Source organism: Homo sapiens, chromosome 8 (assembly GCF_000001405.40).
Source record: "Homo sapiens chromosome 8, GRCh38.p14 Primary Assembly".
Classification (NCBI taxonomy): Eukaryota; Metazoa; Chordata; class Mammalia; order Primates; family Hominidae; genus Homo; species Homo sapiens.
In genome coordinates, this window is record NC_000008.11 from 25,800,811 (window position 1) to 25,819,372 (window position 18,562).

General features: G+C 40.6%; 1 long non-coding RNA gene across 1 annotated transcript in view; it reads left to right on the top strand.

The window, feature by feature from the left end:
• LOC107986933 (uncharacterized) overlaps positions 1 to 18,562 on the top strand; it is a 207,238-nt gene that overhangs the window by 170,679 nt on the left and 17,997 nt on the right. The gene's annotated exons all lie outside the window — the stretch shown is intronic.

An 18,562-nucleotide genomic window follows, 5' to 3' on the forward strand; every position in this document is an offset into this window, starting at 1 on the left:
CCCACTGAGGCACAGGAGCTGAGCTGCTCCATATGGGTACGAAATAAGCTAATTATACAGTCAGCCATGTCCAATGCCAGGATGCATGTTGTTATAAGTTTATCCAGCCTAGTTATGAAGCAGTGAGCCCAAGGTTCTTGGAAAATTTTCCTGAAGGTTTGGTGGTTGATCTACTGTGATATGCATTGGATTAGGTGTTTGGAGATCCCAGTTCAGATTTCTCTAGCTAGCCCTGGGATGTTGGTCAAGTCGAGTCACTTTCCTTCTTGGGCCTTCATTTCCTCATTTGTAAAATATATTCATCCATGCATTTATTTAACACATCTTTGTTGAATTCGTCCTATTTCCCAGGATTAGGGGATAGATGGTGAACAACAACATGAATATGCGTGTCTGCTCGCATGAAGCTTATTATCTAGTGAGGATCAGCCAAGGATCTATGAATGTTTCTCCCTCTGCACTCCCACGTGGCATGCCTCTGGATACTGCAATACAAGCTGTATATAAGTATGTTATTACAATGTTTTTTATCTGATCCCTCGCTGGATTGCATGTTGCAAGTCAGGATGGATAGTGCTTAGAACTGTGGACAGATGCTTGTTCACTGGATAATAGCCAATGAAGTTGGCCCTTTATATTTTGTGTCCTGCCCGGTGTTGAATAGGGCTGAGGATGCAATTGTGTATGCGGAGCCTCAGGGGAAACACATTCAATAGCCGTTGATCCTGCCCTAATAGTTTTTCATCCCAAGTCTTTGGTAAGGAAAAGCACATAAAAGGACTTATAATGAGCAAGTTATCAAGTTATCAATGTCAGTAAGTTGTAGCTGCCTCTACACTCGAAAGTTAGGAATGACCAGAATGACTTTATCACCAAACAGACAGAAACCTTGAAGCACCATCCTGTGTTGGGTGAAAGTGTGCTAGGATATGTGGGTGAGGAGACGGCTTATTTTGTATAAGGGCAGTGTGATGCCCCTGTTCTCCCTAGGGGTTTTGAGCAGCAGGGCACTGAAGAAGTGATCCATATCCCCATCACATTGTGAGCCCTGTGAGGGGGACAGAGGAACTTTTCTGTTTCATGATGACACCCATGGAAAGAGAAAAAGGTTTCAAATATGATTCCAGAATTAGAGGCCTCAAGGCAGGTGCTCCGAGCTGATTTGCTGTGGAGCTGCTTCTTGCACAGGCAGCTCTACCGTGTGAGGCAGGGCTCTATTTATATGGCAGTGAAGGAGACTCGATGATTCTTCCACTGATGCTGGGTGTGGGTGGGATACCCTGAAAGGTACCAATAGACGTTTCTCCGGTAGAGCAGGATTCCTTTGACATCTGCTGCCTTTGCGCTGATGAGTTCTCTAATAGACAAGTATTAGTTGACTATCACATCATACCACAGACACTGTTAAATATTGACTCTAATAGGTAATCTACCATAGATTAGAATTTTATGGTTTACAATGCACTTTGATCATCACTCGTTCAAGCCCTCCTACTTTAATAGTGAAGAAGCTGCGGCCCAGAGTGGTGAAGTGACTTGCTTAAGGTCAAATGGTAAAACTGAAGTAGGACAGAGGTCTCCTGACTCCCAGTTTAGTGCTCTGTCTGTTGTTCCAAATATCACACCATCTTTTCCAGGCAACCATGGCAGAATTTTAAAAAGGAATCATAATAATAATAAAAGATTTTGGCCCATTTGGACGCTTTTCTCTGAAAACAGGGAGCTCACGACATATGATACAAACTGAAAAGCTGAAAGTGATTTCTCACTCATTGGGGCATTATTATTTATGTTTTGAGATGGAGTCTCACTGTTGTCTAGGCTGGGCTGCAGTGATGCGATCTCGGCTCACTGCAACCTCCACTTCCCAGGTTCAAGCAACTCTCCTATCTCAGCCTCTCAAGTAGCTGGGACTACAGGCACCCACCACCAAGTCCAGCTAATTTTTGTATTTTTGTAATTTTTTAAAGGCAGAAAGAGTTTTCTGGAATTGATTGGAAAACTGGAGCACAGACTTTACGGAGATAAGGGAAGTGAAAAACAGCCAAAGACGTGCCATGGGAACAGTCTCATGAGAATCATATCCCCAGACATCATGCCTGTGGCCACCGGCATCTCCATAGTGAACCTCACCCCAGACCTTGCCCTCCCTGTACCACATACAATCTCTAACCTCCCCTAAGATGTGAAATGGGACCAAATTTGGCTTCCATAGAGTTATAAGGATGAGTGAAAGGAAAGGGAACCCCTGCAAACTTCTCTGCCTTCTGGTAAGAATAGTTTTCAGATTTTGGGCAGCCCAAAGAATGTGTACTGTGAAGACCAAACTACCTCTTCACCTTTCTTCCAGTTGGGGTGCTTCCAAAGGCATTTCTTGAATTATGTGGGTTTTAGGATCTGTGTTTAAAAGCTCCTCTGGATTTTAGTATTTTTTATAGAGATGGGGTTTCACCATGTTGGCCATGCTGATCTCGAACTCCTGACCTCAAGTGATCCACCCACCTTGGTTTCCCAAAGTGCTGGGATTATAGGTGTGAGCCACTGTACCTGGCCCATTGGGGCATTATTGTTGAAACATTCACCCTCCTCTGCTTCCTGGCACCAGGGAAGGAGTGCTCTTCCCCACACCATCCATGAGTGTGGCAATGTAACATGCTTGGCCAATGAAATGGGAGCAGATGTTAAAGTACCACTCCTGACCAGAGCTGTGCTCCTTCCCTTCACCATGAGAACAGGCTCCAGCTTCCTAGGGCCTAAAATGGAAAGACACAACACAGTGCTGGACCTAGCCTGGAGTAGTGCTGCTGAAGGGCTGATCTACAGACTCAAGGGCAAGGATATAGGTTTGCTATTGAGAGATTTTCAGTGGGTGAGCAGGTAGGGAGGGATGAGGGGAGGGTGCTTATTATACAGCATTATCACAGCAAAAGCAAAGATACTCAAGGAGGCCTGACCTTAGCTATTTCTGTCTTACCCTCACTTTTCACACTGCAGTGCACAAGTTCAGATTGTCACTTTGTTTTCCAGATGAGAAGATTGCATCCCAGTCAGATTAAATGCTCTTTATAAGGTCATCTTAGGAAAACATAGAGGCATCCTGTTAGCTAGAATCCGTGTATGCTTCCTGACTTTCAGAATTTAGTTTCCTGTGTTATTTAAGCATGAGGCTGTCATTGTCTTTGAGGTTAGAGAAAGAACTAAGCAATTTAGTTTTGCCTGTGTCATCTCTGTCAATCAATCAGTCATCTGTTTTCTATGTCTGTACCTATTATCTCTATCTATCTCTATCATCTATGAATCTATCTCTATCATCTAATTTATATCTAATCTAAATCCATCATCTATCAATCTCTAACTTATCTATATCTATTTCTATCATCTATCTCTATCATATCTATCATATCTATCTACCTACCCACCTACCTACCTACCTACCCACCCACCCACCAATCCTCCGTCTGTCCATCCAACTATGTATTTGTTTGAACTAGGAGGAGAGAGTCTGAAAGTCACATTGTGTTTACTGTTGTGAGGTTGACATTTTAGTTGATCATGTTGAGGTTGGTCCGTCTGCATCTGATTATCTCGTTTCCAGATCCAAGCAGTTGTTAATGAAACAGTTGCTGTTTTGTTGACAGAACATTAATTACTTGATCTTAGGACTCAGTAATTGCACAAGCCTCCTCTGTATACATTACTAATTACATTAGCAATTATATGGCATTTTAAAGACAAAGAAATGACTGAAGCAATTGCAGTGTCACAGGTAACCTGCTGTTAGATTTCAGTCACATGCCTAATGTCCCCATGATGTGCAGAAACAAGTTCTAGTGGATCTTGTGACACGAACTTGAAGAAATGGCCTAAGATTTCCTACCTATGAACTCCCTGCTCAGTGGTAAGCCCATCGTCTAGGCAGAGACAATGTGGATAAAATCTCTTTAACTCTCTCAGCCTCATTTTATTTCTCTATTAAAAATAAAAGCAGAGAAAAGTTGGATAAGAAAATTTACTTATCAAACAAATATTTATTGAATGCAACTACCTCAGGTGCTAGGAATATGACTTCATGAAGTTTATCATCTTTTGAAGGATAAAGACATTAAGCAACAAATACTCAAATGTCTGCAACAGTCAGGGAAATGCTTGTTAGCTGCTGTAAAAACACAACCCCAGAAATATCTGGAGTTCACTACAATAAAATTGTATTTCTTGCTCACACCCTAGGCAGCTCTTTCCAAATGGTGACTCAAGGGTCCATCCATGGTGTGGAATCTTTCTGTTATTCTGAGCTCCTTAGTTTCCAGCTGTGTGGACAGAAGAGCCAGTCAAGGATCTTGTGGGGGCTTTAGAGACTAGATCTAGAAGGGGCATACATAATTTTTCCTACATTCCATGGCTAAAATTGGTCACAGGGCTGCTTCTTTGCTGCATAAAAGGCTGGAAAATGTAGAGGAAAAGGAGAAATGAGCATTTACTCAGTGCTGGCTGTACTGCATAATTATAAATGGTGACCCGTGCTGTAAGGGAAGTGTAGGTAGTACAGTGAGAGCATGCAATGGGACAACCCACTAATTTTGCATCCAGCACTCGTTCCCCCTTCTGCTAAAACTGCCCATATTGCCTTAGGGAAATGACTCTCCTTCATTGTCTGTAGTTTTTGTGGGGCTGTCATTTAAGGTTCCTCTCCACCTCACCCCACTCTCATCAGACATGGGCATGTGGTATGATTAAGACCAATTAGATTCTCTCCTTGGACCGTAACCTTAACTGGAACAACACAAAGACACAAAAAAGTTGGATCTGATTCACTGCTATCAAAGTGCTACAGACAGACTGTCAATTCTTGTCATTTGGATCCCTGGATCTCAGTTCCTGTCCTCTTGAGCCTATTTTTAGCTTTCCCTTTGAATCTCTCCATGACCTCAAATTGTTCCAATTAATTTCCTTTCTTCTTGGGTTAACCAGTTGGTTCTGTGCTTGCAGCCAAATAACCCTAACTGATACAGGGGTATAATTTAGGTTATGAGGTTTAGAGAAGGCCTCTGTGAAGAAGTGGTATTTTTGCTGATAAGTAGAGCATAAGTTGGAGTTAATCAGACAAAGAGTGGAGAAAATTATTTTTAGGGCAAAAGAAGCCACTTATGCAAAGGGCTTGAGGTAGAAAAAGCTTGTAGTGTTTGAGACATGAAAAGCCTGTCTAGCTGGAGTTTGTGCAGTGACAGAAAATGACATAGGATGAGGATGGAGAGGTGGGGCAGTAACAGATTTTCCATACTTTGGAATGATATGGATTTTAGATTTTATTCTAAGTGCAATGCGAAGCCTTCGAAGATTTTGAGAGGGAAAGAGATATGATCCAATTTACACTTTAAAAAAGCAACTCAAGCTAGTCTGTGGGAGACAGGTATGATGGGGTGAGAATTGGAAAAGGAAGATAACTCAGCGGTCCATCAGCTTAGATGGGAGGATGACAGCGGCTTGTCTTGATGACTGGCCAAGAAAATGGAGAAAGGACAGACTTGGGATATGTATTGGGATCGAATTGACACACCTTGATGATGAGTAATTTTGTGGAGGCAGGGAAAAGGAGGCTTCAAGGATAACTTTCAATTTCCATAGGTAATTGATATGGTTTGGCTCTGTGTCCCCACCCAAATCTCATCTCGAATTGCAAACCCCACGTGTTGAGGGAGGGACCTGGTGGGAGGTGATTGGATCATGGGGGCGGTTTCCCCCATGCTGTTCTTGTGATAGTGAGGGAGTCCTTACGGTTGATAAGTGGCAGTTTCCCCTGCACGTGCTCTCTCTCCTGTCACCATGGGAAGATGTGCCTTGCTTCCCTTCACCTTCTCCCATGATTGTAAGTTTCCTGAGGCCTCCCCAGCCAAGCAGAACTGTGAGTCAATTAAACTTCTTTCCTTTATAAATTACTCAGTCTCAGGGAGTATCTTTATAGCAGTGTGAGAATGGACTAATGTGGTAATATTTACTGAAATTAAAAAACGAAAGGGGATCGGCCGGGTGCAGTGGCTCACGCCTGTACTCCCAGCACTTTGGGAGGCCAAGGCAGGCGGATCACGAGGTCAGGAGATCAAGACCATCCTGGCTAACACGGTGAAACCCCGTCTCTACTGAAAATACAAAAAAGTAGCCGGGCACTGTGGCGGGCGCCTGTAGTCCCGGCTACTCGGGAGGCTGAGGCAGGAGAATGACGTGAACCCAGGAGGCGGATCTTGCAGTGAGCCAAGATGGTGCCACTGCACTCCAGCCTGGGCAACAGACCGAGACTCTGTCTCAAAAAGAAAAAAAAAAACAACAAAAAACGAAAAGAGGCATAGGTGAGGGTGGAGGAACTAAGAATTCCTTATCAGCATGTGAAATTGGAATTGTCCTGGAAACTTCAAGTGATGAGTCAAATGTCGACACATAGACATGGTGATCAGAAGAGAAATCTTGGTTAGAGGTGTGAGTTTAGATACTGTGTGTATAGACATGGTGTTAGAGGCCATGGGAAGCAGTAAACAAAATATTTCTAAAGTCCTTTCAGCTCTGGTAACTTCTAAATCCATCAGCCTGGTGAATAAACACCAGAATTCCACATCTACCTGCACACCTAACCAGCTGGGGACTCTGTTGTATCCCACAAGCCCTGTGCCCATTAAGGGGTCAACCCATCCTGCCCTCCTCAGCTGGACTACATTAGAATGTCTCCCTCATTCCCTAAACTTGTTCAAAGCCTCATGCCCACTTAATTTCCCTGCATCTTTCTAATCGCTCACCTTACTTTCTGTATGAAATAGCTCCACAAACTTGAAGCTGATTGCATTCCTCTCCAGCAGCCCCTGGCTCCCTGTCCCTGGCCCTCACTGGTTCAGGTTTATGGGTTATTTCTTCTTCCCTAGCTGAGCCAGCCTCATGGCCTCAGAGACGCTGCCCTGGTTTAGTTCCAACCTTCAAGAAACAGCACCAGGCCCCTGTATACCATCATGGTGCCCTGGCCACTGGCCTACTGCTTGCTAGAATGGAGGGGATGGGGTAAAGTGAGGAGACAGAGCAGCAGATGCTGGTCCCTGGGACCCCGGCCTGGTGACCTGAAACTGGAGAAGCTCCCCAGACGGTGGGAGAGTGTGAGAGGTCCTCCTGACCTCTCCCCTCCCCATAGCCCTGGGTCAGCTTCCTCTGTTTACTGAAAGCACGTATGTGAGGAAAACAGGGCCTGGCTGGGGCGGTGCGTTGGATGTGGGAGAATTTGAACTTTATCAGTCCTGACATTTCTGCCTCGGTATGTGTGATTGTTGTTACACATATGGATTGGATCAAATGAGATAATTTATGCAAAAGCACTTTGAAATTTTTAGAGAGCTATCCAAGATATTGCATGTTGTTATGATTACCATTACATGGGAAAGCCTTTCCCCTTCAATATCACCCAAGTGTTTGATTAAAATTAGGTGGCAGATTGGCAAATCTATAAAGTGCTTTCTTGTGTAGCCTGTCACCTATACCTACGGTGACCATATGGCCTACATTTTCCAGGATGGTGCAGATTTCACATAGTTCTAGTCTTCACTGCAAAGGTGATTTGTTAAATTCCTAACTAAGTCTCCTGCAATTATTAAGCCTCTGCAAGACTTTTCTCCAAATATGTTCATGAGAATAAAAACCTGTGTCAGGGCGGGGGCGGTGTCTCATGCCTGTAATCCCGGCATTTTGGGAGGCTGAGGTGGGTGGATCCCTTGAGGTCATGAGTTCGAGACCAGCCTGGCTAACATAGTGAAACCCCATCTCTACCACAAAAATACAAAAATTAGCCGGGCATGGTGGCGCATGCCTGTAATCCCAGCTATTCGGGAGACTGAGGCATGAAGATAGCTTCAACCTGGGAGGCAGAGGTTGCAGTGAGCCGAGATTATGCCATTGCACTCCAGCCTGGGCAACAGAGAGAGGCTCCATCTCAATCAATCAATCAATAAACCTGTGTTAGGCCACATTTTCGAATTTTTTGAGAGGTACTCACCTCTGTATTTCTTATCCATGTGCAACGGGAAGTACTCAGAGAACTCAGGGCATCCCTGTTCCTTTGAGGGTCCCACCTGGGCAGGGGAGGGAAATGAGAGGACAATCAATTTTCCATGTTATATAAATGCAAGGACTAAAGCCAGAGTGGTCTGAGCATTACCATGGCATCCTGAGGATGGCCACTGGGGGATTTTGTTTAGGATTTCAGTGGAAAGGGAGAAGTACAAGGACTGCCCACAGTGCCTTTGACCCTTGTCACTTCTCTGTCCTCTGTTGCTCTCTCTCTTGCTTTTGTCATTCAGCCCTTTCCAGTGGGTGGCTCCATCCTGAAGGGTGGGCTGGCTGCAGATGCCTATTCCAAGGAGTCATCCCAAGGAGCCGGCTCACGGTTTCCTCATCACCTGATGGAGGAAGATGGAGCAGCCTGTTGGCCACAGTGAGGGGAAGGGGTTGGGGATAGGGAATGGGGTTGCATCAGCAGCAGCTCTTTTGATTCTCCCTGTCCACACATTCTCCATTTCCACTGGTTTTAGGAATAAGCCATGAGCTGAAAGTAAGATAATAAGATGGCCCAGTAGACAGTCTACTGTTGCCTTCAGGTCTGCTCTTCTTTATTTTATTTTTATATTTATTTTTATTTTTATTCATTGATTAAGACAGGGTCTCACTCTGTTGTCCAGGCTGGAGTGCAGTGGATGATCTTGGCTCACTGCAACCTCCACTTCCTGGGCTCAAGAGATCTTCCCTCCTCAGCCTCCCAAGTAGCTGAGATTTACAGGCACACGCCACTATGCTCAGCTAAATTTTTTTTTGTATTTTTAGTAGAGATGGGGTTTCACTTTGTTGGCCAGCCTAGTCTCAAACTCCTGACCTCAAAGTGACCTGCCTGCCTTGGCCTCCCAAAGTGCTGTGATTACAGGGGTGAGCCACTGCTCCCAGCCTGCTCTTCTTTTAGGGGAGAGAAAGAAGCGTGTGGATTTCTGCCCTGGCATTTCACTTCTTGATCTGTTCCGAAGTAGCTTCCACCAGGCCCCTGAGACAGATTTCATAAATGGCAACACCGTTTTCACTGCTTCCTCCCCTTTTCAACACTTTCAACACTTTCTGTTTTGGATCAACTTTTACCTAAAATTCTAGCATGGGAGCTGGGAGATATCAGGAGGTGCAGTGGAGAGATTGCTTATAGTTTGTGAGTCAAGATAATTTCTGTGAGCAAGAGGCCTTCTCGAAGAAGCACACAGGATTTGCATCCAGAGTTTCAATGAATTCCAGTCTAGACTCTACTACCAATAAGCTCTGTAACCCAGGGCTGGTCAGTGAACTCATGAGACCTTACTTTTCTCAACTGTACTAGGAAAGAATATTCGTTCCTTTTAGTTCCATGGAAAAGCTCCGAGAACAGGTCACCTTTTGTCCTGGACAGTCTTTACTGAGTTTCAATTTCAGCTTTTGTATTTCTCATACAGAAATATCATGGTTGACAACTACAATTTTTTTTGCTCATATGAATCAGAGGTTTGATGACTCTTGGAATAAATCCTGATAGGTGCTTGGTATTTTCACACACCTTTTTAATTTTTTCATGGAAACTCATCTTCCAAACAACTTTATAGGGATAAAATGAGATAATATTCACAATAGCGTCTAACAAAGAATGAGGACACCAAATCTCACAGACTCACACTTTTTACTTAAAGTCACTGATATGGTTTGGTTCTGTCCCCACCCAAATATCATCTTGAATTCCCACGTGTTGTGGGAGAGACCTGGTAGCAGGTGATTAAATCATGGGGTCAGGTCTTTCCCATGCTGTTCTTGTGACAGTGAATAAGTCTCATGATATTTGATGGTTTTACTAAAAGGAGTTCCCCTGCACAAGCTCTTTCTTTGCCTGCCACCATCCATTTAAGAGATGACTTTGCTCCCCGTTGCCTTATGCCATGATTGTGAAGCCTCCCCAGCCACGTGGAACTGCAAGTCCATTAAATCTTTGTCCTGTATAAATTGCCGGGTCTCAGGTATGTCTTTATCAGCAGTGTAAAAACAGACTAATACAGTCATCCTGCTCAGAAGAGTTCTAATTATTATTTCAACCCTAGTATCATGGCTCCAAGACCAGATGCTCTTCCCAGTACATTGCAGCAGTCCTGTTCCAAAGTTGATGTTCTTAAAAGATACATGCACAAAACAAAAAGCTAAAATCCTATTATTCAATAATTCCCAAGACTCCTAAAATTAAAGGTTAGAGATGAGTAAGTCATTTTGAAAAGTGACTCAATACAGCACTGTTTGACCAGGAAGATGTTTGAAAAGAAGTAACTAAGATATGATGGTCACCGTTCTGACTTTTGATAGCATTACAGATAATTTCACTTCAAACAAGTGTGTAGTTTATTCTTCAGTATTCGGGCTGGCTTTGGGGGCTTTGAAGAAAGTCTACAGTGTAGATGTTACAGAAATAAACTCTGTTTTCTGCAAAGGGCCTCATCAAAGGCATTTAGTACAACTCATTCCCCAAAATCACATGTATTCCAATCATGTGGTATAAAAGATCATGGATCCACAGGGGGCAGTATTTTGAAGATCAAAAGGAGAAAGAACTAATATTTTTGATTCCTTATATATGCCAGAAAATGAAAGGGGTTGCTTTCACCTCTGTTACCTCCTTTAATCTCCATGAACCCACCATGAGGCAGGTAATACTGTTCCAGTTTTGCCGGTGAGAAGACTAAGGCTGAGGAGGACAAGGGCTTACTATGGTTACTTGGCTAGTGAAGAAAGTGGAGGAAAGTAGAGGAGCCCTGCTTTCTGGCTTGAACAGATGGGTGTACAGCATTGTAATTTGTTGATGCAAAAAACTCAGGTTGGAAGGTTTTGGGGGAGAATTCCAAACTTTATGTTGGACATGTTAAATTGAGCTTTCTGGGAAATATCCAAGTCAGCAGCTGTCTCAACCTCAGAAGAAGAAATAGAAATTTGAGAGATGTCAGCATATAAATGAGTATTAAAAACCAGGCTCAGGGTGAGAGTATAAACTGGCACAACCTCTGTAGAGAGGGGCAACCATATACTTTATCCAAACCAGACACTTTTAAGAGAAAAGGTGTTGTTATTATTAACTATGTTGAGACAATGTCTTCAGCAAATTAGAGCAGTTGGACATTCTCTTTATAGAAGGTAATCTGGCAAGACCTGAAAATTACAAATGCACAAATGCATTCACCCACTTCTGGGAACTTATCCTACAAATATACTCATATGTGCAAAATGACACATTTATTAAATATTATATTAATAGTAGAAAAATAGAAACAACTTAAATGTCAATAAGTAGAGGAATGGCCAAATAAAATATTTACATTAAAATATATAATATATATTAAAATATATATTAAAATTTGTAACATATAGACTACTTCTGGGAAAAAACACAAGAAATTGGTAATATTGATTGCCTCCAAGGAAGGAAATTAGATGGCTATGGACAGTTGTCAGGAGGAAATTTTTCATTTTACCCTTTGGACTATTTTGAATTTTTAATCATGTTAAAATATTACTTCAAGAAAAAAACCATTCGTTTAAAATTGAAAATCAATAAAAAAAATCAAGCTAAACCTTAGCAATCTGTAGGGAAAAAAAATGTATTATGGGACTCGCAGTATTTTATACTTCTTACAAAGTAAGAACTACAAATACATTACATTATGCAGAAATAGTCTCCACTTTCATGTATGATAACCAAGATACCTAATCCCAGATGAACAGAGTGACACTAAATGAAAGATGGCAAAATATCGTCGACCAGCCTTTCCGCTTAATACCCAGGAAAGGGATATCTTAGCATCCAGATGGATGGTGACAACCAGCAAAGCCAGCAGAAACTAGAAGGGGAGAGATTCCTTCCTGCTCATGGATGAGTGACCAGGAAATGACTACATGGGTCTATAAAAATGTTCTGCAAACACAGAGATTAAGGACATAGAGCCCAAGAGTCATTGAAAGAGCATGTCATGTTGAAAGAAGGATTTTCTAAATAAAAACAAATTTTACATGGTATCTTCATTATAATCTCAAAACTTCATAAAAAGTCAGTCTCAATGAAACAATATATAAATAATTTAGAAAAAATCCTACTAAAGGGTTAGTCTGAAATTAAATAAAAAGAGTGGTATATAAGAATAAGAAGAAACACATACATACACACAAACAACCGCAAATTGAAAATCAAAATTAAAAGCTGTAAAAAGTTTCAGCCAAGATGGAATGACTGGTACCAGGCTAGTTCTTCCTCCTTTAACAACAAGAAAACTAGACAAAAATATATGAAATATCTCTTTTTTAGACATTAGAAACAAGCACAGAAGGACTATCACAATGAGAGAAAGGAAACAAAAGTGGCAAGCCCACAATTGCTGTGGCTTTCTGTCTAGAGGCACTTTTTAGTGCAGGATGGAGGAATCCAAGCAGAACATAGCAAGTTGATGAGTTGAGGAAACAGACTGATGTTTAGATGGTCTAAGGTGGCTAAGAGTTGTGAGAGACTATTGGACATAAGCTGGAGAAAGAGAGGTAGTGACAGACGGAGACAGAGACACAGAGAGATATATCCAGAAATCTGTATCAGGGCTTTTTTGAGTCTGATGCTGAATATTAAGCCACACATATATAGGGTGCAAGTCCACGAGGCCACACAAAATCTACTACCGGAGAGCCGTAAAAATGAACAATTGGCAGAGCTCACAAAGACCTTGAGAGAGATTCAAGTTCTAGCCATCCAAAGTAGAGAGGCATTGAACACCTGAACATTCAGTAGAGATCCCATAAAGGTCACATCTTAGTGATAGGACTAAATATACTCTAGAATCAAGACTATTCTAGATTTTCCCTTACAGAGCTTAAGGAAATCCACAAAGGATTACACTAATCAGCAAGTCATTTAACTGTCTTTCAAAACAAAAACCAATACTCTAAAGAAAGACAACAAAATTCAAACACTTGGCAATGTTATATTCAAGGTATCCAGGATCCAGTAGAAAATTACTAGACATACACAGAAGCAGGACTATATGATCGATAACCAGGAGAAAGATCAGTCAGCAGAAAGAGATCACACATTATAGAGATAATGAGATTTGCAAAAAAAAAACAACTTTAAAACCGCTATTCTAAATATGTTGAAGGATTTAGAGGAAATCATGAACAAATAGGGAAAGGAAGATGTTAAAATGATCAATTTTAGAACTTGAAAATGTGTGATCTGAAATGAAAACATTAACTGAGCCTCAGTATCATATTATATACACAGTACAAGAAAGTATCAGTGACCTTGAAGACAGAGCAATAGAAACTCTTCAAACTGAAACATAGAAAAAACTGAAAAAAGTGGACAGAACTAAGTGACTTGTAGGACACCATCAAATGATCATGTAATTAAGAGTTTCTGAAAACTGCAAAACATTACTGAGAAAGTTTTTAAAGTATTTAAATAAGTTAGGGATATACAATGTTTATCAAAATGCTCATTTTCTCAAATTATTCTATAGATTCAACACAATCCAAATCTCAGAAGGTGTTTTGATAGAATTGATGAGTTAATTCTAAAATGTGTATATAAATGCAAAGTTTTAAAGTAGCCAAAACAATTTTGAAAAAGGACAAAGTTGGAAGACTGATTTCAAGACTTACTATAAAGCTAAGACCAGTGTGGTATTGTCATGAAGGTACATATATAGATAATTGAAAGAAAAGAAAAAAGAAATAGGCCCACACCAAATATATTCTCAATTGGTTTTGAAAAATGTGCCAAGGTAACTCAATGAGAAAAGAATATTCTTTTTAATAAGCTGTGCTGGAATAATGAATATCTTTATAAGAAAAAAGGAGGACGAAGGGAAGGAGGAGTAGTTCCATCCATATTTGAATCCAAAAGAAAGTCACTTGAAATCATAATTTAAACATAAAATCTAAAACTTCAAAAGTTCCAGAATAAAATGAAAAAATCATTACAGCATTGGATACATTTGATAACTAGGATACATTTGATAATTTTCAATATCATTCCTGACTTTTAATAAAAAATTTTAAACATTGTGGTACAAAAATATTTCTTAGGATGCATAAAGTACTATTCATAAAATTTAAAAGATTGACAAATGAGACTTTACCAAAATTTGAAATGTCACCTCTTCCAAAGACATTTCAAATAGATATATATAGAAAAAAAATGACCCTAGTCCTAAACCTCATGCTTTCATAAAAATTAACTCAAAATGGATCACAGATTTAAAGACAAAACATAAAACTTTACAAGTTTCAGAAGAAAACTTAGGAGAAAATCTTCAGGATCTAGGGTTAGGCGAAGGGTTCTTGATACCAAAAGTATAATCTGTAAAAGGGAAAATGGATAAATTGACCTTATTAAAATTTAAAAATTTGTTCTGCTAAAGATCCTGTTAAAAGGATGAAAAGACAAGCTACCCACTGGAAAGAAATATTGCAAACCACATATCCAACAAAGAACTACTATTTTGAATACATACAGAACTCTCAAAACTCAAAAGTAAAAAGAAAATAAAATAAATAAACCCAAAACTCCAATTAGAAAATGAGCTAAGGCCAGGCGCGGGTGGCTCACGCCTGTATTCCCAGCACTTTGGGGGGTGGAGGCGGGCCGATCATGAGGTCAGGGGATTGAGACCATCCTGGCTAACACAGTGAAACCCCGTCTTTAGTAAAAATACAAAAAAAAAAAAAAAAAAAAAAAAGCAGGGCGTGGTGGCAGGTGCCTGTAGTGAGGCTGAGGCAGGAGAATGGCGTGAACCTGGGAGTTGGAGCTTACAGTGAGCCGAGATCGCGCCACTGCACTCCAGCCTGGGCGACAGAGAGACTCCGTCTCAAAAAAAAAAAAAAAAAAAAGCAAAGAAAAAAGAAAGAAAATGAGCTAAAAACATGAGATATTTCACTGAAGATGGCAAATAAGCACCTGAAAAGATATTCAACCTCACTAGCAATTGGGGAAATGCAAATTAGAACCAAAATGACTATCACTACATACCAATCACAATGACTAAATTTAAAAAATAGTGACAAGACCAAATGCTGGCAAGGATGTGAAGAAATGGGACCACTCACACACTGCTAGTGGGAAGTATAAATTGGTACCAAATTACTAAAAGCCTAACAAAAAAGCATGATATTAATAAATTAGACCACAAGACAAAAACAATACGGACCATATATAATTCTACGCTATTCAATTTTAAAATTTCAATTTATGCAGAAAAGTTTAAAGTGATAATATTGACACAGGATAAAATAAAAATTCTTAATTATTCAATAAAAATGGGTAAAAAGGAAACAGCTGTCAGTAAATTATCTCCAAAAGGGCTCCTAGCCCAGAAGTTTTTCTGAGCAAGCTTTACATTTTTTTCAAGAAAAATAATTCTCTCCTGTTATGTAAGCTTGAAAATAACAAAATTATTCCAATTTATCTTATGATTCTGCAGGTCTCTCAAGAACACAAGCTTGGTACTTTGAAAAATGAAAAATATAAACCAATCTTACTTTTGACTAGCAAATCATATCTAGCAGCTTATTTAAACAAATAATACAGCATAATCAGGAATGTAAAAATAGCTTGATGGTGAAAAAATCTATTGATATAATTCATCATCTCTATAAAATCAAAGGAGAATGAATCATGATTCTTACTAGATGCCAAAATACATTTGGCAAGTTTCAATATCATTCCTGACTTTTAATAAAAAAATTTAAAAAGATACCTGCTAGCCACAAAGAATAGAAGACTTCCTTAACCAGATTAAGAATATTTATGTCAAATTGGCCAATATCATGTTCAATGGGGAAACCTGGACATTAAAATCAGACCTCACCATATGAGCTTGCCATCATTATTACTACTTTTTAATATTTTCCTGGCACTCTTAGTCAACAATAAGTCAACAAAAAGAAACATGAAGTATAAATATTGGAAAGAAGAGAAAAATTGTTATTTGCCTCAGATGACAAAGACAATATCTTTGATTAGTTTGAATTTTTGGAAACCAAACTCTCCTTATTTTCTGCTTTTTGCCTGGTATTATTTCATCCCTGAGGCAATGAGACACTACCTATTATTTGCTTGAAGGAGGGAGAGGAAGAAAAGGGAGGTGCGTTATATACAAAATACATGCACATATAGACACACACACACAAATATCTGCAGAATAGACATTAAAATATTAACAATGGCCAGGTGCGGTGGCTCATGCCTGTAATCCGAGCACTTTGGGAGGCCCAGGTAGGAGGATCACTTGAAGTCAGGAGTTCGAGACCAACCTGACCAACATGGCAAAACTTCGTCTCTACTAAAAATACAAAAATTAGCTGGGCATGGTGGTGGGCACCTGTGATCCCAGCTACTCAGGAGGCTGAGGCAGGAGAATCACTTGAACCTGGGAGGCGTAGGCTGCAGTGAGCCAAGATTGCACACCTACACTCCAGCCTGGGCAACAGAGCAAGACTCTATCTCAAAAAGTTAACAAGACTTATTTCTTAATGGTAAGATTCCAATTTTTTTTTTCTTTATGCTTTTCTACAATTTCCAAATTTTCTACAGTGAACATTTATTAGTTATGTAGTAGAAAAATACACATTATTTTTCAAAAGCCAAAGATAAATAAGGGGAAGAAAGGTGTTCAAATTGTAGCAGAAATGGCTGGTGGGGAGTTGGAAGAAGAATCCAAAGGGGATAATATGTGCTTGGGATATATTGAAAGAACCATGGCTTTGGAAGCAGAAGACTGGAGTTCCATCACTGGTGGCATCGCTTATAAATGTGATAATTCCAGGCAAGTCATTTGACTCTGGTAGCCCCAGTTTCCTTTGGGGAAGACCCCTACTACCCATTCTTCATGTCTCCCACATTAAGGGGCTTCCATGGAGAAATAGGACTTTCACCTTGTGTCACCTGCAGCTTATGGGTCTACCAACCAGGCAGCACAATTTGCCCAGGACAGTTAATGCTTTTTGTCACATCATATTTATTCATCTCTTCCCTTTTCACTCTCCAAAGTCTCCTAGTTTTAAGCAATGCATTGATGTGGTCACCCCACTCACGGCAGCTTTGTTCATGAGAAAAAAAAATGGCTGTTTTTAGGCAGTTTTAAACAAACGTGGACTTTAGCAAACTCTAACTGCTACAGTGAGCAAACAGGCTGTTGGGGTCTTAGTTAAACCCACTTCATGATGGCTACCATAAGCTTTGCCTGGAACTAACCAGGCACAGTGCGGCATTGTTGTCTTTAAGCATCAGTAAGCAGAAGTGTGCTTGCAGCAATGTGGATCTTAGCCAGGACTGCATGCCAAGAGTGTAAATGGCATAGACAGCGCATGATCTACAGAGCGTAGAGGTGTCATGCCTGCCTTGGGCTGGCAGGGTGGGCTCAGGTATCCTGGTGCTGTTCCCCTTCCTGTTGCTTTGCATCTTGTCTGGAAGGGTGAAAAATGTGGTTGGATTCACATGGCTTGTTGGCACATTCAAGAATTCATCCCAAATTTGGTTCTCAGTTTGTTAAATATGTCAGCACTGACCGAAATTTTAGATATCAGGACCCAAATTGTGGCTTACCCCATAGATCTTTCTCCTTCCTTCAAATATTGCAGGCCCTCTGACAATACTCATTACTGGATTCTGAAAAAACAGTCTGCTCAAAAACCTGTTCTGATGGCTGGGGATTACTTGTGGTTCTGAATTATGTGGAATATGAGACTGAGGCTATAATAATCTGATGTGTCCTATTAACTCTTTGAACTCTTTAAAAAATGTGGCTCATGAGAGGTCATGAAGGAGCCACACCCATTCCCACAGAAGGCAGCCCAGGCTGGGGCTGCTACAGACATCAGACCCAGGCCCTCTGGTAGAGACTCATCAGAACTGGAAATTGGGCTGGGCATGGTGGCTCACACCTGTAATCCCAGCACTTTTGGAGGCCTAGGTGGATGGATCACTTGGGGTCAGGAGTTTAAGACCTGCCTGGCCAACATGGTGAAACCCTGTCTATTAAAAATACAAAAATTACCCAGGCGTGGTGGCGGGCACCTGTAATCCCAGCTACTCAGGAGGCTGAGGCACAAGAATTGCTTGAACTCGGGAGGCAGAGGTTGTAGTGAGCCAAGATCACGCCATCGCACTTCAGCCAACAGAGTGAGACTGCATCTCAAAAAAAAAAAAAAATTGGAAATGAAATGAAATTTTGAACACTTTTTTGCATATCAAGTCATGGGAAAAAAAATAAAAATTTGTGTTGGACTTGACGTTCTTTGGAATTTTAATTGTACATTAAGGAAATTTAACTTTGGGCTTTAATTCTTTGGAACCTAAACTTTGGACTTTCCTTAGAAGAAGATTTGATTTTTGGACTTCAAGATCTCACTTGGAATTTCCAGATGAAAGGGAGTTTGTATTCAAATTTGGTCTCCTCTGTGTTGCCGGAATTCAATTATTGAGTATTTTATATTGTTATTTAATTACATTGCAGAA